General features: G+C 42.4%; 1 protein-coding gene and 1 pseudogene across 13 annotated transcripts in view, besides 4 other annotated features; both read left to right on the forward strand.

Annotated features, from left to right (window-relative positions):
* On the forward strand, positions 4609-5158 carry RPL24P2 (RPL24 pseudogene 2; annotated as a pseudogene).
* Positions 7614-8813: an enhancer, noted in NCBI's record as "P300/CBP strongly-dependent group 1 enhancer chr20:21098327-21099526 (GRCh37/hg19 assembly coordinates)". NCBI's record gives its function as "activates an origin of replication core promoter dependent on BRD2, BRD4, P300/CBP, MED14 and CDK7 cofactors, with strong dependence on P300/CBP, by STARR-seq in HCT116 cells {active_cell/tissue: HCT116}" and the evidence as "EXISTENCE:reporter gene assay evidence [ECO:0000049][PMID:35650434]".
* Positions 15479-15578: an enhancer, noted in NCBI's record as "active region_17617". NCBI's record gives its function as "activates an Ori minimal core promoter by ATAC-STARR-seq in GM12878 lymphoblastoid cells {active_cell/tissue: GM12878}" and the evidence as "EXISTENCE:reporter gene assay evidence [ECO:0000049][PMID:35858748]".
* Positions 15739-16318: a silencer, noted in NCBI's record as "silent region_12713". NCBI's record gives its function as "represses an Ori minimal core promoter by ATAC-STARR-seq in GM12878 lymphoblastoid cells {active_cell/tissue: GM12878}" and the evidence as "EXISTENCE:reporter gene assay evidence [ECO:0000049][PMID:35858748]".
* KIZ (kizuna centrosomal protein) overlaps positions 15903-20863 on the forward strand; it is a 120648-nt gene continuing 115687 nt past the window's right edge. For 12 of the 13 annotated variants that reach the window (XR_937105.4, XR_001754334.3, XR_007067468.1 and 9 more), the window contains exon 1: positions 16010-16132. Coding sequence is in view for 5 of the 13 variants with exons in the window: in XM_011529296.4 (XP_011527598.1) it covers positions 16044-16132 (89 nt within the window). In the remaining 8 variants the exon portion in view is untranslated. Of the gene's footprint in view, positions 16133-20863 lie in introns of all 13 variants that reach the window. The other variant, NM_001276389.2, reaches the window with a different exon arrangement.
* Positions 16479-16528: an enhancer, noted in NCBI's record as "active region_17618". NCBI's record gives its function as "activates an Ori minimal core promoter by ATAC-STARR-seq in GM12878 lymphoblastoid cells {active_cell/tissue: GM12878}" and the evidence as "EXISTENCE:reporter gene assay evidence [ECO:0000049][PMID:35858748]".

Below are 20863 nucleotides of genomic sequence, written 5' to 3' on the forward strand. Positions count from 1 at the left end.
TATCTTGTCCTAGATTGACATTTTAGCTCTTTCGAACTTTCTTGCTCTCAAATTCCCAAGACTCATCAATGAGATGGACTATTCTGCTGTCATTAAATTGACAATGCATATTTTAACACCAAGCTGAAAATCAAATGAATAAAGATTTAAATACGATAAGATGGACAGATTACTAAATTATAAAAATTGTGGCACTGAAGAGGTTATAAAGTTAATTAAATAGTCGGTAGGTTAAGGAAAAAGTGGTTTTATTCTTCTTTATTAAGTTGCTTAAATAACCCTGAAATATTTCTGTGGTTTTATGATGAGAGTTTTTATTGGCGCTTTTGTGAAATAATGGCAATGACCTTGGCTATGGGCTTTCTACAGAACAAGAGGTAACACTTCTCATCAATGATGTCACCAAAATATTCTAGAAATCAGGTTGAATATCATAATAGAGAAAAAAACATGAGGTCCAATTATTTTCCTACTCTTGGAATGCCCAGGTGCATTTTCTGAGACTTGAGGGGTCATGGGAATCTTTGTATTTCTTTTCCTTGCCCATAGCCGATAACTCTTTTCTTTCTGTTTTTTTTTTATTGCCCAAAGATAATGATGTCACAATTTCAACATGTTTATTAGAAATTTATTTCTATAGAGAAATTCAGCTCTGAAATATTCAAGGAAACTTAAAACAGGGAAAAGAATGTTGGAGAAGGAATCCCATGGAGTGTTAGAGTGTGAAGTGGTAGAAAATTCCAACTTATTGCTATCTTCGTTGCTGTACACACCTTGCAATATCCAGTTGGCCTGAGGCTCTCACTTCATTTCATATTGTCACTTCTAGACCACAATTTCATTCCCTCTATTTTTTTTTGTTTGTTCTGTTTTTAAGAGACAGGGTCTCACTATGTTGGCCAGGCTGAAGTGCAGGGGCTGTTCACAGGCACTATCATAGCACACTGCAGCACTGAACTCCTGGGCTCTGCAATTCTCCCAGGTAGCTGAGACTATAGGCACAGGCCACTGCACCTGGCCCCTCTACCTTCTATTTAAAATTCATCCCACTGACTTCAGGTTCTGCTTGGGGATAAAAGAGAGCTGGAAAGAGCATTGCTCTCATCTTACAGCAACAAAGGCCAGAAAGCCAGTAAGTATGTCTGTTGTTGAAGGCACCAGAGTACTAATATCACAAGGTAACCAACTGGCCCAAGACTTAGGCTCAGGGTGAGACTTCCTGTGCATGCCCGAAGCCCTCCATCTGACAGCTTCTGAGTGTATCCACCGAGTTCTTCAGTGCAAATCTGGAGCATGGAGAGGAAGTTGAACAGTTCCCCTTTAAGCAAGGTAGTATATTCTAGTAGTCCTATAATAGGGCTTGAAATCAGTCTTAGTCCTCCAACATTCTTTCCACAATTCTTCTTTATAGAGTTGTTTTGGCTGTTAGAAACAGCTTGTCAATTTCTTTAAAAAAAAAAAACCTGCTGGGATTTTGATAGGGAATTTGTAGAATTTATCAATCAATTTGGAGAGAATTGACGTCATAACAATATTGAGTGTCCTCACTCATATTTCTCTCCATTGATTTAGATCTTCTTTCATTTCTCTTAGCAATATTTGCAGTTTTCAGTGTGCAGTTCTGTCACATTTTTTGTCAGATTTGTCCCTAAATATTTCATGGTTTTCGATGCTATTGTAAATGGTATTTAAAATTTTTCAGTTTCCTATTGTTTGTTGCTGGTATATAGAAATACAATTGAGTTTTATATATTGATCTTTTATCCTACAACCTTGCTAAACTCACTTATTAGTTCTCTGCAAGGCAGTAGAAACCAGAATGACACAGCCTGGTTTCCCTCCTCCCCATTATCCTAAGAGGACATTTGTCATGCAGATGACCATAGGTTGCCCTCTACTTCTCTGTCTTCTGCCAGGCTTTGAACAGGAGAAGCAACCTCTCCAAGCCTCAGGATAATAATGCTCACCTTGCCGTGCTATAGTTAGGAGTAATAAGAACCTACATGTTGAAAGCCCAGCCAAGGCCTGAATCATAGCACTCAGTATATGTCAGTGTCCTTTGATTAATATTCTAAGTTCTCCATGGAAACTTCTTTTGTGCTCCCAAGTGCTAAATACCCTTTAGGTCCAAGTGTTCAAAGCATCCTCACTTGTTGGCCTATCATGATATGCTCCATTAAGGAACTAAAAACTATGTTTTTAGTTAATGCACATGCTGTTTCTAAATAGCTGATGCTGTTAGAGTTCATTTCTCCTTTCTTACCCTGCAGGTTACATAGTGTCTGTACAGTCCAGGACATCCTCCACCTCTCTGTTTGAGGGTGTTCTCTGGTGCTGGGACTTCTTGGGAGATTGCAAGCAAGACTGGAAATACTAGAGTTGTCTTAGTTCAAGTTGCTGTAACAAAATATGTTAGACTGGGTAACTTATAAACAACAGGAAAGTAGAGTGCTCGCAATTCTGGAGGCTGGGAAGTTCAAGATTGACGTACCAGCAGACTGGGTGTCTGGCAAGGACTCACTACTTCACTGATGGCATCTTCTTGCTACATCCTCACATGGTGGAAAGGCAAAAGGGGCAAACAGCCTCCCTCAGGCCTCTTTTACAAGAGCACTAATCCCATTCATGAGGGCTCTGCCTCCCAAAAGCACCACTTCTTAATATCAAAACACTGGGGACCAGGTGTGGTAGCTCACATCTGTAATCGCAGCACTTTGGGAGGCTGAGGCGGGTGGATCACTTGAGGTCAGGAGTTCAAGACTAGCCTGGCCAACATGGTGAAACTCCGTCTCTACTAAAAATAGAGAAATTAGCTGGGTGTGGTGGTGCATGCCTGTAATCCCAGCTATTCGAGAGGCTGAGGCAGGAGATTCACTTGAACCCGGGAGGCAGAGGTTGCAGTGAGCTGAGATCACATCACTGCACTCCAGCCTGGGCAACAGAGCAAGACTCCGTCTCAAAAAAAAAAAAAAAACAAAAAACAAAAAACACTGGGTATTCAATTTCAACATATGAATTTTGGAGTATTGCAAACATTCAGACCATAGCAGGAGTTAATCTAAGGAGCAACCCTCCATCAATGAGTGGTGGGAGTGGATAGATTCAAAAGCCTACTTTCTCATCCCTCAGTCAAGATGATTCTGTTCTATCCTTCCATAGTCCCTTAGAGGTCCCCAGCTGAATTGAGTCACAGCTGTCCTCAGTGGTAACCTGCTCATTAAGGCCTCTTAAATCTGCTTCCTTCCTTTCTCTGTCTAATGGTCCCTGTCTCTCAACCACTTTCTGGGATAACCTCCAAAATAAACTAGTTGTGCCCTCCAACCTTGTCGTGGGATCTGCTTTGGGGAATCAAAAATAAGATAGGTCATTTGACAAATGATCAAGGTAGTTAGTAGCAGAACTAGAATTAGAACCCAGGTCTTCTGGTTCTAGACTATGTTCTTTAGTTTTACCAGATGTGGGAGTAATGCACTTGAAACAATGATAACACAGCATCCAGCAGTGTGTAATTGGACACTAATAGCCCAGCACTGGCTCCTCATGCCATGCTTGTATCCTAAGGCTGGTATTAGGAATTACTCTTCTGAGTGGGTTCAAGTAGCAACATAATCAGCAAATGAAGTGGCGACTGAGGTGCGGGTCACTGAAGCCAAGAAGGGATAATTTTTTAAAGATAATGAAATAGTAGTGATATGGGATATTTTAAAATCTCATGGGGGGAAGGGAGCCTACAGTAGTGGTGCACAGCTCTAAGTATGACTTAATGATGCAAGTTTTTAAAAGCCCAGAGGTACTGGTCAGCAGCATTTACTAGACCACGTGTTTCCATAAGCAAGGCACATGTACACATTTGACAAATGACTTATTAGTAGTGCTATAGTGTGGCGCTGCTGTGATGTACTAGAAAGATGCCTACCCCATGACATTTTATGTCAATTTTAAAAGTTAAATACAAGTTACTATATTAAATGCCATCACTGTCAATATCATAGTATATGAAATGAAAACAGTCTCATCAAAACAGGACTAGATAAATTGCATCATGTAAGATCCACAAAACAAAACTCTACATAACTGTTTAAAAGGATGAGGCAGATCTATAGCTTTCCATATCCTGATACAGTAGGATCGCCAAGATATGTTCAGCAAAAACACAAGATGCAGAACGGTGTGTAAAGAGTGCTGCTATTTACATATTTTAAATGCTATAGGAGCTGGGTTCAGAAATGTAGAGGTGCTCAGATAGACAAAGATGTGCTTAGAATAACTCAGGAAGGCCAAGTAAGATACTGGTAACTCATTGCCTCCGGAAAAGGAAACTGGAAGGCTTGTGGCAGGAAGGAGAGGGACATTTTTTGCTGTCTTTTTCACAGTTGAATTTCCTATGATGTATTGTTTCAAAAATATTATAATAATGAAAAAATATTTGAGAGCTGTCCTGGAAGCCAGCCACCAGAGAAAGAAACAAGACCACTGACTGACACGGGATAATGTGGAAAGAAAGGCCCAGCCAACATCTATACCAAGGCTGCAGTACAAGAGTGAAGCCATCCTGGACATTGCAGCCTCAGCAAAGTTCCTGGTTGAATGTGCTTAATATGTGAACCGTTCTCTTTACCATCTTTTTTCTCCTCCCGTGGAGCCGCCACCATGAAAGTCGAGCTGTGCAGTTTCAGCGGATACAAGATCTACTCCGGACACAGGAGGCGCTACGCCAGGACCGAAGGGAAGGTTTTCCGGTTTCTTAATTCAAAATGCGAGTAGGCATTCCTTTCCAAGAGTAATCTTCGGCAGATAAGCTGGACTGTCCTCTACAGAACGAAGCACAAAAAGGGACAGTCAGAAGAAATTCAGAAGAAAAGAACCCGTCGAGCAGTCAAATTCCAGAGGGCCATTACTGGTGCATCTCTTGCTGATATAATGGCCAAGAGGGATCAGAAACCTGAAGTTAGAAAGGCTCAAAGAGAACAAGCTATCAGGGCTGCTAAGGAAGCAAAAAAAGGCTAAGCAAGCATCTAAAAAGACTGCAATGGCTGCTGCTAAGGCACCTACAAAGGCAGCACCTAAGCAAAAGACTGTGAAGGTTGTGAAAGTTTCAGCTCCCCAAGTTGGTGGAAAACGCTAAGCTGGCAGATTCTATTTTTAAATAGATTGGATTTAAAAAAAAATGTGAACCAGGCCATCCAAATGAGCTCAGTCGGCCCACAGATTCATGTGATATAATAAGTCATTTTGGTTTAAAGACACTAACACCTACATGCACCCATGAAGAAAGAAAGGAAAGAAAAATAGGAGAGAAAAAGAGAAGAAAAAATTGAATACAAAATCGTGACTTTTCCAAAGTAGAATTCTAACGTTAAGTATGAGACATATTTTGGGTGACCCTTGTTGCTGCTAAGTGGTAGCAGGTAGTTAACTGTGTACACACCACCATCCCTGAGTGGTGGTCTCCTATGATAGGGACCCAATGATACAGTAGAAAACCCACAGATCTTGGAGAAAGGCTGGACTAGATTTAAATAGTCAGCAAGTTCCTTAACCCCCCGAGCCTCAATGAAACAGGGATAATAACACACATTTTGCAGAGCTCTTGTGAGGCTTGAAGAAGTAGACTCCCACACATGATTCTATGGCTGAAAGAGAGTGGGTATACAATAATCATCGACTTTTTGAACCACCACCATCCCACCCCAACTGTATCAGTTACCTAATGCTGCCTACCAAATCATACCCAAGCTTAATGACTTAAAAGAATATGATAATTTGTTATCTCATGGTTTCTAGGGTCAGAATTCAAGAGCAGCTTGGCTGTTCAGTTCTCTCTTGAGATCCCTTGTGATGATGCAGTCAGATTTTGCCTAGAGCTGTAGTCCTCTGAAAATTAGACAGAGCTGGAGGGTTTAACTCCAGCTAAGTCTAATTGCCGACTTATCAGCACTCACATGGCTGGTACAACATCACACAGGTTGGCCCTGATACAGTGCAGGAGGGGACTACACAAGGGCATGAATTCCAGGGGAAGGAATATTGGAGGACTATTATGGGCTGAGTCGTATCCCCTCAAAATTCATGTTGAAGTCCTAACTCCCAGTACCTCGGAATGTGACTATGTTTGGAGATAGGCTCTCTACAGTGGTAATTAAGATTGTATTAGCCATTCTTACATTGCTACAAAGAAATACCTATGGCTGGGTAATTTTAAGGAAAAGAGGTTTAACTGGCTTATGGTTCTGTAGGCTGTACAGGAAGCATGAGCATATGCTCAACTTCTCGGGAGGCCTCAGGAAACTTACAATCACATGGGAGGCAAAGAGGGAGCAGGATGGCATGTGGCCAGAATGGGAACAAGAGAGAGGGTAGGGAGGTGCCATATACTTTTAAACAACCACATTTTGTGAGAACTCATTCCTGTTGTGAAGACAGCACCCAGCCCCAAGCCATAAGGGATCTGCCCCTGTGATCCAATCATCTCCCAGCAGACTCCACCTCCAATATTGGGGATTACATCTTAACATGAGATTTGGGGGGTGAGGGCACAGATCCAAATCATGTCAAAGGCTAAATGAGGTCATCGGGGTGAGCCCTAACCCAATATGACCTGTGTTCTTATAAGAGGAGATTGGGACACAGACACAGAGGGACATCATGTAGACACAGGGAGAAGACGACCATCTATAAGCAAAAGAGAGAGGCCTCAGAAGAAATCAACCCTGCTGACACCTTGATTGCAGACTTCTACCTTCCAGAACTGTGAGAAAATTTATTTCTGTGGTTTACACCTTTCAATTTGTGGTACTTTATTATGGTAGCCCTACAAACTAATACAGGGGCCATGATGGAAGCTGGCTTCTATATTGACCACCTTATTGCATTAAAAATAATGGCTTCTTCAGATACAAAGCCACTTATTGTACAATTCTATTTATATGAAATTTCCTGGATAGATAAACCCACATAGAAAGTAGGTTAGTGGTAGCCAGGGACTGGGGGTACAGAGGAATGGGGAATGACTGCTAAGAGGTATAGGGTTTCTTTTTGGGGCAATGAAATGTTCTAGAATTAATAGTGTTGATGGTTGTACAACTTTGTGAATATGCTAAAAATCACTAAATTTTACTCTTTCAAAGGATGGATTTCATCAAATGTGAACTATATCTCAATTTTTAAAAACATCTTGTTGGCTTCTTATTGCTACACCCGACCATCATCCAGTATCTTTGGGGTGGTCTTCTGGCCTGGGTTCTGGTCCCAGAACTCAGCTGAGGAATGCTGAAGAAATATATGGCAGCCTTTATTCCTGAAGATGGCCTATAATCAAGTTGCGGTCATAGAACATGGCATTAAAATACTTGCAAAAAGATTCCAGTTTAAATTCATTCCCAAAAAGTCCACCACTGGGAAGAAGCAATGCCCGCATAACACCTCCACAGGCCCACCCCAGCTTCCACTCCTGCAGCAGTGGCCCACCTTGGATATGACACAGCCTCTTGTGCCTCAGTTTCACTGCTCCAACAAACACCTGCCATTGTGAGAAGTAGCAGAACATAGTGGTTGAGAATTAGGTCTCTGGTACTACATTTTATGGGTTATAACTCCACCCCTCCTCTGACGAGCCATGTGGCTTTGGTGGAGTGGCTTAACCTCAACATGCTCCAAATTCCTCATCTGGAAAACGGGGCCAATACATGTGAAGAGCCAGGCACAAAGTGAAGCTCCATCATATTAGCTATCGGATACTATTTACTGACACACATGCATGTGACCACACACGTACAATCTCTAACAAAATGAACCCATTTCCATTCCTCTTTGGTTACATTTAGAAGTCCTAGGAAATTCAGAATGCTTCCTTGTCCTCAGGGAGAGTTGGAACCATTTGTTTATTGAGTGTTTTCTACGGGCCAGGCCTGTGCTAAGGACGTCTTAAATATTTATTTCATTTACTCCTTGCAATTACTTGATAAATAAAAATGTTATTGCCCTCATTTTAGAAATGAGGAAAATGAGACATTCAAAATGTTGAGATGTGCTCAGAGCCACACAGTCACTAAGAGGCGGAGCTGGGACTGGAACTCAAGTCTACTGATTCTGAAGCACATGATCTTTAGACAACATGGTGCTGCCTGCGTGTCATTGACTTCTACCCCTGAGGCTGATGGGCTGAGATCTCCTCAACTGCCAGGGTTGACACAAAAGGAGTAAAACGGAATCCCAGGTTGAGGTTCCCAACTTAATGTCACCTACTGAGTCATCAGTGATGAATTCAGGTGACCAGAACCTGACCCTGCGTGGGCAGGTGACTGCAGAACCAGTAGAATTGATGAAAAGGACAGAGAGGAAGCTCAGGAAATGCCTCTGAGAGACAGAGATAAGTCATAAAATGCAGAATTTGGGCCATTACCTCTGACGACTTGCTTCACCTCCCAAAGGGATATTTTTCTTGTCTTCCTAAGAAGCAATGCTAGCTTGTGTTGGTTGAGGGATAATTCTACCAGGCATGATTCCAAGTGCATCACACAGATCACCACATTTAAGGCTCTCAATGACCCTGAGAGGAAGGCACTCTTACGATCACCATTTCACAGATGAGGAATTGGAGGCACATCAAGGGTAAGTAATCTGCCCAGGGTCACACAGGTTGTAAGAGAAGTGATAGTATACTATGCAGAGGAGGCACCTGAGCCCAAATTCCCAACTCTTGTATCTGACTGCTTCTTGAGGACACAATGGCAAATGTTTGATGATTAAGTGAAGGGAGGTTATTTTGTGTAGCAGTCATCATTGAGGTGTGCCCCAGCAATGAATGAAGCCAACATTTTTACAAAGACTGTGAATAATTGCAGGCAATGAGAAGTGGAACATTCTACATGAGGTGCCCTGTCACCTTGTAAACATAAATACATAGTCATCAAATAAATGGTACTTATTATGCAAACCCTTTGGTTTTAACCTGCCTGCGAATTGTAAGAACAGTCCTAGAGCGTCCCTTTGTTTCCAACCCTTGTAGTTAGGAGTACTTGTTGAACCCTGATGAGAAGTGCATCCAAGTGGCAAACAATTAAGAAATTCACCAAATGATTTTTGAGGAGAATCTTGGCATTCAAAGATTGTTCACATGTGACATCAGCACAGCCTGTCACTCATGCACCCAGGGCTGCAGGGCTGCAGAGCTGCTCCTGCCTGGTACACCACGCCACAGGCCAGTCCTGCAGGGAGAAAAGAGTGCAAAGATTTGGTGTTTCAAGTCTCTCTCCTCTGAGGATTCCTCTTTGTCTACAAAGGGATAATCCTGGAGACCTCATGGAAGCCCAATTCAAGGACTTCAGTGGAAATCATAGGCATATAAGAGCTGTGAGACAGAGTGAGCCCATCTCGTTTAAGTAGTGAGTCTCTAGCTAGAGGCAGTTAACTACTCTATTATTCCATTTTTTGGCTGTTATTTAGCTTTTCTAGAACTCAAGTATTTTAGAGACTCACTTTTTTTTTTTTTTTTTTTTTTTTTTTTTAGACAGGGTCTTACTCTGTCACTCAGGCTGGAGTGCAGTGGCGTCATCTCAGCATGAAACTTCACCTCCTGGGTTCAAGCGATTCTCTTGCCTCAGCCTCCTGAGTAGCTGGGCTTACAGGCATGTGCCACCACGCCCAGTTCATTTTTTGTATTTTTCGTACAGACAGCGTTTCACCATGTTGTCCAGGCTGGTCTTAAATCCTGAGCTCAGGTAATCCTCCAGCCTCCACCTCCCAAAGTGCTAGGATTACAGGGGTGAGCCACCGCGCCCAGCCAGGACCCACATATTAATGGTTGGTTTATATGATATGAAATAAAATGAGGAAATCTATGTTTTTATTTTATTTATTGGAATCTGCACCCAATTCTTATTATTTTAAATTAGCTATTACAAATGTCTTTGTTAGCCAGGCATGGTGGCATGTGCCTGTTGTCCCAGCTACTTGGGAGACTGAGGCAGGAGGATCACTTGAGCCCAGGAATTCAAGGCTGCAGTGAGCCATGATCATGCCACTGCACTCCAGCCTGGTGACAGACTGAGACTTTGTCTTAAAATCAAATTAATTTAATTTAAAAAACAAATGCCTTTGAGCAAAGTGCTGTTAGTAACCTCATGTCTTCCTGTATTCATCAGGGTTCTTCAGAGAAACAGAACCAGTAGGACACACACACACGCACACACACACACGTGTGTGTATATATATGTGTGTATGTATATATATATATATATTTATATATATATATATTTATATATATATATTTATATATATATATTTATATATATATATATTTATATATATATATTTATATATATATATTTATATATATATATATTTATATATATATATATTTATATATATATATTTATATATATATATATTTATATATATATATTTATATATATATATATTTATATGGAGAGAGAGAGATTTATTTTTAGGAAGTGGTTCATGAGATTGTGAGGGACTTCATTCTTTTCTCCTAAGGCCTTCAACTGACTGGATGAGGCCCATCCACATTTTGGAGAGCAGTCTACTTTCCTCAAAGCCTACTGCTTCAAATATTAACAACATCTAAAAAAAAAGTCTTCACAGTCATGTCTAGACTGGTGTTTGATAAAGCAACTGACCACCATGGCCTAGCCAAGTTGACACATAAAATAAATTCACAATCACACCTCTCCTCTTGATGACCATCACCTCTATATTAGTCCATTTCACACTGTTATAAAGATACTACCTGAGACTGGGTAATTTATAAACAAAAGATGTTTAATTGCTGCATGGCTGGGGAAGCCTCAGGAAACTTGCAATCATAGCGGAAGGGGAAGCAAGGCATGTCTTACATGGCAGCAGGCGAGAGAGAGAGACAGAGAGAGAGAGACAGAGAGAGAGCAAGCTCTCAGTGGAAACTGGCAGACACTTACCAAACAACCAGGTCTCATAAGAACTTCCTCACTACCACAAGAACAGCAATTACCTCCCACCAGGTCCTTTCCTCGACACAGGGGTATTACAATTCAAGATTTGGGTGGGGACACAGAACAAAACCATATCAACCTCCCAGCAAGGATGGCATCTTACCTTCTATTCTTATCTTTCCACTTCCCAGTGATTTATGTCCTCCCTCTCCCTGTTCCATGTTTATCCATCTTTCTACTTCATCTTTAGATCTGCATGGTTCAACAAAGTGGCTACTAGCTACATGTAGCCTCTTAAATTTTAATTTTAATTATTAAAATAAAATTAAATTTGGCTGGGCCCAGTGGCTCACACCTGTAATCCCAGGACTTTGGGAGGCTGAGGAGGGTGGATCACCTAAGGTCAGGAGTTCGAGACCAGCCTGGTCAACATGGCAAAACCCTGTCTCTACTAAAAATACAAAAATTAGCCAGGTGTGGTAGTGTGTGCCTGTAATCCCAGTTGTTAGAGGGTGCTGAGGCAGGAGAATTGCTTGAACCCAGGAGGCAGAGGTTGCAGTGAGCTGAGATTGCACAACTGCACTCCAGCCTTGGCAACAGAGTGAGACTCCATCTCAAAATAAATAAATAAATAAAAATTAAATTAAAAATTCAATTTCTCAGTTGCACTAGCCATATTCAATTGCCCAATAGCCATGGCTAATGGCTACCAGATTGGATATGTCTGCATAATGACTGCAAAATGAAATCTTGTCCTACTTTCATATCTATCATGGATTGAAATGTGTCCCCTGCACAATACATATGTTGACGTTCTAACTCTCAGTACCTCAAAATGCAGTCTTCTTTGGAAACAGGGTCAATGCAGATGTAATTAGTTAAGATGAGATCATACTGGGGAAGGGTGGGCGTCTAATCCAATATGATTGGTGCCTTCATAAAAAGGCAGAATTTGGAGACACATACACAGGTAGAACACCATGTGAACATGAAAGCAGAGGTCAAGATGATGTGTCTAGAAGCCAAGGAACACCAAAGATAGCCTGCAAACCACCAGCAGCCAGGAGAGAGGCATGCGGCAGATTCTTCCCCACAGCCCTCAGAAAGAACGAGCCATGCAGATATCTTGATCTTCAATTTCTAGCCTCCAGACCTGAAACACAATAAATCATGTTGTTTAAGACACCTAGTTTGTGGAGCTTTCTTACAGCAGCCCTAGCAAATTAATATAATATCCAAGCAGTTATTGACTAAATATACATGATTTAATTAAAAGCAGCATAGTGTGTACATTTTAAAATATAAAATGCTACTGCAGGCCAGACACAGTGGCTCACGCCTGTAATTCCAGCACTTTGGGAGGCCAAGGCAGGTGGATCACCTGAGGTTGGGAGTTCGAGACCAGCCTGACCAACATGGAGAAACCCTGTCTCTACTAAAAATACAAAATTAGCCAGGCGTGGTGGCATATGCCTGTAATCCCAGCTACTCAGGAGGCTGAGGCAGTAGAATCGCTTGAACCAGGGAGGCAGTGGTTGCGGTGAGCTGAGATCATGCTATTGCACTCCAGCCTGGGCAACAAGAGTGAAATTCCGTCTCAAAAAAAAAAAAAATTTCTGCTGCATTGAGAGGCCGAGATGAATCAGAACAGGACTTGTTGGGTTTCCCACTCAATTAGTGTTAGATCATGTCCCCTTTGTCCAATCACGCTTCTACACGACTGTCGATCATGCCTATCCAATAAAGTCCCCATAAAAGACCCAAGGGGACAGGGTTCAGGAAGCTTCTGAGCTGGCTGAACATGTGGAGGAGGTTCCTGGAGGGTGGTGTGCCCGTGGAGGGCATGGAACCTCTACACCCCTTCCCCCAGACCTCACCTTATGAATCTTTTCATCTGTATCTTTTGTGATATTCTTATAATAAACTGGTAAATGTAATGTATATATACATATATATGGAAATATGTTGAAATTAGAATTTCCCAATATTAGAATATATGTACAATTCTAATTTCAATATATTTTCCAGAATCAATTTTGTTTTTGAGCTACAAAAACAACAATTTCATTTGGTTCACCCAAAGATTCATGTGACTTCTGGGCCGAGACACTGGCTTCCCTTGCTGTTTGCTTAATGGGACCACTAGGGATCCATATTTTGAACTAGACTCGTTAATATTACATAGATTTCCAGCTAGGTGACTTTGGCCAAGCCCCTTATCTGCCCTGAACCCTTTTTCCCCTGTAAAACAAGGGGGTGGGGCTAGACTCCCTCTAAGTTCTAGCTAAGACATTCTAGGACTTAGAGGAAGCCTTGATCTAGGCAGACTTGATGACCCTTGGTCCAGTGAGCTAAAAGCAGGGCTGCTTACAGAAATCAGCTCAGCTAAATAAAGAGTTTGAAGAAAAATATTAAAATAGAGGGCTCTGGCAAATTAAATATTCAAAGTGAAGAACTCAGAATTTATTGAAAGCCTGTCACCATTTAAAATGCATAATTTTAGCATAAATACTCTAGAAATATTCCTTTTGTTTGCTATGTGTTATTGTTAATAAAGGAGATCCTACATCTAGATTTGTCATACGTCATTAATGAATCAACCATAGGATGTAAATTATAATTATTTTGAATTATCTATTTACTGTTTAATTACATTTAATTTTAGATTCTCCTAAAATGGCCTAATAAAAATTTTGGGTGCTAAATGACTGCCTCATCTGCTTACTCTGTGCTACTTGCTAAAATTAGTTATATTAATTGTTTGGGGATTCTTTTTCTTAAAAAAAAAAACTAACCCTGGGGGCATGGTCCTAAATAAAATATCCTAAAAATTTAATGCTTTTCTTTTCTTTGCCAGGGTTGTAGTAAAATGTTAGTTACACTAAACTCATTAAAATAAACCTTTGCACATTACCACTGAATCAATTGGATATAATCTGAATAAAAACTAAATAAAAGTCACATCAGTGCTACCCTTGGACCAGGGCAAGAAGGCCTCTGCCCTGGCTTCTGTGTATTAGAGGTTCTGTTCTAGCCCTTCTCTGCCCATGCTGCTCCACGCAAGGCAAGGAGGTCCCAGGGCCAGATGACAGGCCCACCTGGGGTGCTCACACACATACACACACATGCTCTTCTAGAACACGTTCTAAGTACCCAACACCCTTACCTTCCCTGCTCAAAGGGGCCCAAGCTGCTTTCTAAGGCTTTAAAAGGCCTCTTGGCTGGGTCTTTCCTGCAAGGGTGACCATCACTGGCATGCTCACTGCCCGGCCAAGAGGAGGCTGAGGTGGGGATGTAGGCAGAGTTGGGACTTGCTGGCTGGAGAAGAGGAGGAGAAGAGGCAGGGCACACACATCCCTGCTAGTGTATGAGACCCCCTCACAAAGCAAGACTGAGCCTGGGGTGGGAAATGGAGTTGGGGGGAGCTGGAGAAGCAGGCAAACTAAATTCCACCCTGGTTGTCCAGGTTCTTAAGAAGGCATATTGGTCAAAGTGGAGAGGAGAACACGTATTTTACCTAAGTTTGTTATCTTGAATTATAATTCAATATTTAGGCGGATGGTATGAGGGCCTCCATTCACACTCTTGCCCTGGAACTGGCAAATGTGAATGGAAGGCTGAGTAAAATCATAGTTTTGTGTTGTTGGCCTTTGAGTGTTCCATCTCTCTTACAATTTTAGTTTGTCACACCTTGCACCTTGTATGTGTAAGTAAAATTAATGGCATAGGAAAGAAACCAAAAGAAGTGAACAATAAGAGACTAAAGAAACTCTACAGGCCGGGCATGGTGGCTCATGCAAGTAATCCTAACACTTTGGGAGGCCAAGGTGGGTGGATCACCTGAGGTTGGGAGTTCAAGACCAGCCTGGCCAACATGGTGAAACCCCGTCTCTCCTTAAAATATAAAAAATACCAAAAAAAACAAAAATTATCTGGGTGTGGTAGCGCACACCTGTAATCCCAGTTATTCAGGAGGCTGAGGCACGAGAATCTTTTGAACCCGGGAGGCAGAGCTTGCAGTGAGCCGAGATCACGCCACTGCACTCCAGCCTGGGCAACAGAGTGAGACTCTGTCTCAAAAAAAAAAAAAAAAAAAAGGAAAGGAAGGCAGAGAAGCAGGCTAAGGCTTAATTTTTCTGCCCAGTGGGTTTTGAAATATGGTTGGCTTCCTTCAGGAAGCTTTTTCCCGACGTTGGTGATGATAATAAAACCTGATGCTTTCTATGTGCTGGGCCCACTTATAAACACTAACACATATTAACAATCGAATCCTAAACTAATCCTGTGTTAACAGCCTCCCACTTTACATATGAGGAAACCTGGGGTGACTTGCACACGGCTTGGCAGCTGGGACGTGGATAGGGAATGTACACCCAGGCAGTCTGGCTCCCGGGCTCCTGCTAGAGGATCCTACAGGACATTAGGAGCATTGTCCCTTAGAGCTGTCTGCACAAACGTCTGCTTCCCAAGCAACTAGTTATCAACTTTTCCCTCTCGCCAACGATACTGGCACCTGGAACAATCCTTAGATTCAGCACGGATTTTCGAGTAAGGGGTTGGTCCACTGTCGGGGCTGAGCACGGCTGTTTAGCATTTGAGGGTTTGTCTTTTTTTACTTGGTGTTTTGTGTCGCTTTTGAGTGCTGATATAATAGAACAAGCTTAGTACAGTGCCTGGCACTCAACAAATCCTGGCAAGAAAGGAGATCGAGGAAAAGAAGCAAGCGAGAGACGAAAGAAAGGGAGGGAATGCGCCTTGTAACATTAACGTAGCTTGTGCGAATCCTGGAAGGTGAGGGGAAAGGAGACACCGCGTCAAGGGAGAGAGGAGAGGGCACCGAGCGCCCGCCCCTCCGACGTGGTCCGCCCCGGCCTCACGACGCCCCGCCTCTGCCACGCCTCTTCCCCGCCCCATGCAGGTCTTCGTCCCGCCCCCCACAAAGCCGGCTTCCGCCCCGTCCCTCAGCGGCGCCCCGCCCCCACGGCGTCTTGCCCCGCCTCCTGCAGGCGGCCCGGCGCGGTGTTTACCCGCGGTGCATGGTGGGGCGGTCTCCTTCGGCAACCCCGGCCGAACGGCCACCCAGAGGCTGTGCTGAGCTGGCGCAGCGGCAGCAGCATGAGCCGGACCCTCGCATCGGCCGTGCCCCTGTCGAGTCCCGACTACTACGAGAGGCTGGGCCAACTCCAGCACGGGCTGCGGGACAGGTAAGGGCACTGGGGCGGGGGTGGGGAGTCGGCCCGCGCCGGGGGTCTTCCGCGTGCCCTGCCCCATTTTCCTTCCCGCTCCCCCGTCCGAGGTTCCCCGGGGCCCAGGCCCGCGCGCAACGCCCCCCAGGCTCCCAGTGGGGCCTGGAGGACAGTGTTTACTAGAGCCACCCCCTGTATTGGGGGTGGGAGCGGAGAGAGGTGAGAGACCGCCCCCGCCCCGTCAATAGCAGCTAAAGCCTGGTCTACGGTTTGAGGATGCGGCCGCGTCACAGAATTTGCCCAGAAGTGAAGGTGGGAGTTCTTCTGCCTGTCACTCTCCATCAAGCCTTGTGAGTTTCTCTTGTCCCCTTTTACACGCCCCCTCCCCACTCTCTTCAAATTGCCATCCCGCCGTGACAGCTGCACTGCATCAATGATGACAAGTCCTGGAACGCAGACGGTTGTGTGTGTGTGTGTCAAACATGTGCCCCCGTTTAAACTCAGGAGACTTTTAGGGGTAGCGAGGGCTGGCTAGATTTCCAGCGAAGGGATGAAATTTCCAGCTAGAGAAGTCCAGCTTCCAGAGGGTTCATGATGCCTTTGATTAAGATATGAAAGATGGGAACCACTGAAAACAGCTAGATCTAAGAGTGCATATAGAGAGAAAATTATACCGCAATGTACTATGAATAACCACGTAAAAGATAAATTGCTGGACCTCTTATTTAGCTGCTAAGTTAATTGGAGTTGTAACTCTCATTAGTTGACAAGAAAGGAAATACATTTTTGGATCTCTTGATAAACAAAACATTTAATGAGTGTTAAAAGTTACAAAATCATTCTAGTGAACAGGAGAGCTGTGTGCGTGACAGTGCTAAAATGATAACAATAATTACATGGAAAATAAAGGCAGAAGTGAGCGATTTTGAAAAGGAATTACATTTATCTTACGCTAGATTTAATTCTTGTCAGATATTTATAGAGCATCTACAACAGGCTTCCTTAATTGTCGTTAGCATTTTTTTTACCTTGTACTCCTTTTCTACGTCCTATTTTCTTTCTGACATGTCACCGCTCACCCATATCAGTGACCTCTTAATTTCTGACTTTAAAAAGAAATCTCTTCCTGTAGAGCCTTCCCTGTTTCAACCCATTCCCTAACTTTTGTGACTCTTGGCATTCTTACAGCACTCATAAATGGCATTCTTTTTGAACTATTAATTGTAAGTTATTTTTGTTTCCTGTGCTAGGAACACCTGGCTGTTTATAGTCCTTATGGCACAATAACTGTATAATAATTATGTACTTTATGATTAACACTTATTTAATTATTAAACAAGGTGAGGCTGTTGAAAATATATAAGGAATGTGAATCAAATTTTATAGCCTGTTCACGGTTCTGCATTTCGAGATTTGTTTTATTTTTAAGTCAGTACAAATCTGTTGCTGTGTGTGTTCATTTTTCATTTTAAGAATTTATAACTAACTCAAATTAATGCACACTGGACACAGTTATAGAGGCAAATAATTCTAGATACAGAAAAGGCTGCAGTAGAAATATCAAAACCTGGATTCTAGTCCACGAACAATTGTGTGACCTTGAGCAGGTTGTTCCACCTCTCTGAACCTTGGTTCTTTACCAGGAATGAGGGGGCTTGACTAATATGCAAAGTAAGGCCACAGATTTTTTTCTTTCTCTCTTTGCTAGAATAATGGGCCTTAAAGTAAAAAAAGAAAAAAAAGCTGAAAGCTGTAGTTTTGCAAAGCAATGTGTAAAGAATATTATTGTCTGTATCCAATTTGAGTGTTTGGATGTACCTTTTTGTTTGTTTGTTTATTTGTTTGAAACATAGTCTCACTCTGTCACCCAGGCTGGAGTGCAATGGCATGATCTCAGCTCACTGCAACCCCCACCTCCCAGGTTCAAGCGATTGTCCTGCCTCAGCCTCCCTAGTAGCTGGGATTACAGGCGCCCACCACCAACCCCAGCTAATTTTTGTATTTTTAGTGGAGATGGGGTTTCACCATGTTGGCCAGGCTGATCTCGAACCCCTGACCTCAGGTGATCTGCCTGCCTCTGCCTTCCAAAGTGTTGGGATTACAGGTGTGAGCCACTGCACCCGGCCTTGGTTGTACCTTTTTAAACAAAGAAACACAAAGCATCCCACTGATCACAGATACCACTGTCTCCTAAAATTCCTGAGTCATTTCATAGGGAGCAACCCTGGGTAGTCACAGCTGCTTTATCAATCCAGAAACTTCTGGGAAGTGGGAGACAAAAAAAAACTCCCTCTTTCTCAGCCCTTTTAGAGGTGGTCATTGCAATGTTAGCTGGTCAAATAACCAGCATATTTCCAGCCCAAGTCATGTTAGCTGTAGTTACACGTAGATGTAATTTTATCGTCTGAATGTTTTCCTATGTGTGTACAGTGTTTTTTCTGCATTGTGGTGAAAGTCAATAATTGAATCTAAAAGAGTCTAATGGAGTGACTTGTTACAGTGTGTATAGCACCCACAAGCATGGTAGAAACTTATAAGTGGAATTGGCTCTTACGGTTATACAAAAACATCCTTTTAAAAGGGCCCATTAGCCAGCCGCGGTTTTTTCAGTGCCTATATTGATTCAGAGTAAGATATCATAATAGTCTAGAAACTGACACTGAGATATTAGTAGAGTAAGCTGAAGATGGTATAGAATTGTGGTATCGAGACAAAAACAGAATAACAAGTGGCTTAAAAGTAGAAAACTCAGCAAGATAAGGACCACTTAGCTGTGTAAAACTGAAAGGTCCAAGTGAGGGGTGACTGAAAACATGAACTATGGGTAAGCATCCCAGGGATGGGTATTTCAAAGATTCTGAATAGAGATTTAATATGTAAGAATTGCAAGCCATGGAAAGGCTTTTCATTGAGGCAAATATCTGGTTTTTAGTATTAAATTTTAAAAAGACATGGAGGGCTCAGCATTCTGAGGTGCTGCAGTGTGGATGAGGGGCTAGAAAATAGGCCTGTGAAGAAGAGTTAACAAGATTACCACCGTTTTGCCTGGGAGAGAAAGCCAAGAGGAGTTTGATTATCAGGGTATGAAGTGTTATGATAGAGAAGTGTGAGCAGCAGATGTCTGCATCTGCTGAAGATGTTTTACAAATAAATTTTACATTCATTACTAAGAAGAACTTGCTGCTTGGGAGGTGGTGGATTTCCAAAGTGACTGTGGTCCTTTTTCACTAGAAGTCATAGGTGAATTTTAGAAATTATTTTAAAGTGGCTGGGCGTGGTGGCTCACACCTATAATCCCGGCACTTTGAGAGGCAGAGGCGGGTGGATCACCTGAGGTGAGGAGTTTGAGACCAGCCTGGCCAACATGGCAAAACCCCGTCTCTACTAAAAATACAAAAATTAATTGGGTGTGGTGGCGCATGCCTGTAATCCTAGCTACTTGGGAAACTGAAACAGAATCCCTTAAACCCAGGAGGGAGAGGTTGCAGTGAGCTGAGATTGTGCCATTGTACTCCAGCTTGGGCAACAGAGTGAGACTCCATCTCAAAAAAAAAAAATGTGTGTATATATATATATATTTTTTAAAGTAAATTCTAGCTTACAAAAAAGTTGCGAATATAGGACAAAGACCTCCAGTGTTCCTGTCACCCAGATCCCTCAACTATTAACATTTTATTAGATTTTTGACACTGAGATATCAGTTGGGTATCTATTTAAATCTGTCTATCTAAAACCATTAGCCTTTTCTGATCTGTTTGAGAAGTGCATATATGATGCCTCATCACTCCTAAAATCTTCAATGTGTGTTTCCAAAAGCCAAGGATGTTCTTGTACATGATCACACCATACAGCCCTCCTAGTGGTGAAACCAGTCCGCAGACTGCATCAGATTTCACCAGCTATCTTAACGATGCTCCCTTTTTTTTCCCCCTGGTCCAGTGGCTCACCTGCAAACCGCGGTTGCATTTGGCTGGCATGTCTCTTCAGTCTCCCTACATCTGGAACGATTCCTCAGTCTTTCCCTGTCTTTCATGTTCCTGACAAGTTCATAGAGTACAGCTTTCATTCTAGAGGGTGACCCTCAAGCTGAGTCTATCTGATGGTGTCTCATTACCAGACTGCAGTCGTGCTTTCTTAGGAATACAACAGAAATGAAGCACTACCTCAGGGCATGGGGTCATAGATGTATTCAGAGGTCTTCCTTTCTTTGTAATTTAATGACAAGTTGCTCACACTATCCAGTCATTCATTCTGCATGAACCAAGTACCCAATTGATCATGAAACTCTAGGGGGGGAATGGTAACTAATAAAAATTTCTAATGTGGAAGCAATTATGCTATGTTTCCTTCACTTCTATTCTAAGTTCACTCTTACTAGTGAGAAGGTAAAGATTTGTGATGCTATTAGTTAAAAATGTGTGTTTTTGTAATTTTTTTCCTTTTAATCTTTTTTTTTTCTTTTTAACATAGGCATACTGCAACCCATGGGTTGTGTTCCCCAAGTGAAGATTCTGTGTCTGGATTTTGGACCCCATATTCCCATTAAATGAATTTTGGTTAAATAGTAGTTTCCATTTAACATTATGCAAAGGAAAGAAAGTTATGTAACCTGTAATGTAGCTAACAGTGACTTTTGGGATGATCTTTTTTTTAAAGGAAAAGAACTATTCTGAAGATATATAGAAACTGATAATTAAGAGCTCACAAATGGAGCATGGGGCCAGCCCCTTTCCCTCAGGAAGCCAACCT

This window comes from Homo sapiens, chromosome 20 (genome assembly GCF_000001405.40).
Source record: "Homo sapiens chromosome 20, GRCh38.p14 Primary Assembly".
Taxonomy (NCBI): Eukaryota; Metazoa; Chordata; class Mammalia; order Primates; family Hominidae; genus Homo; species Homo sapiens.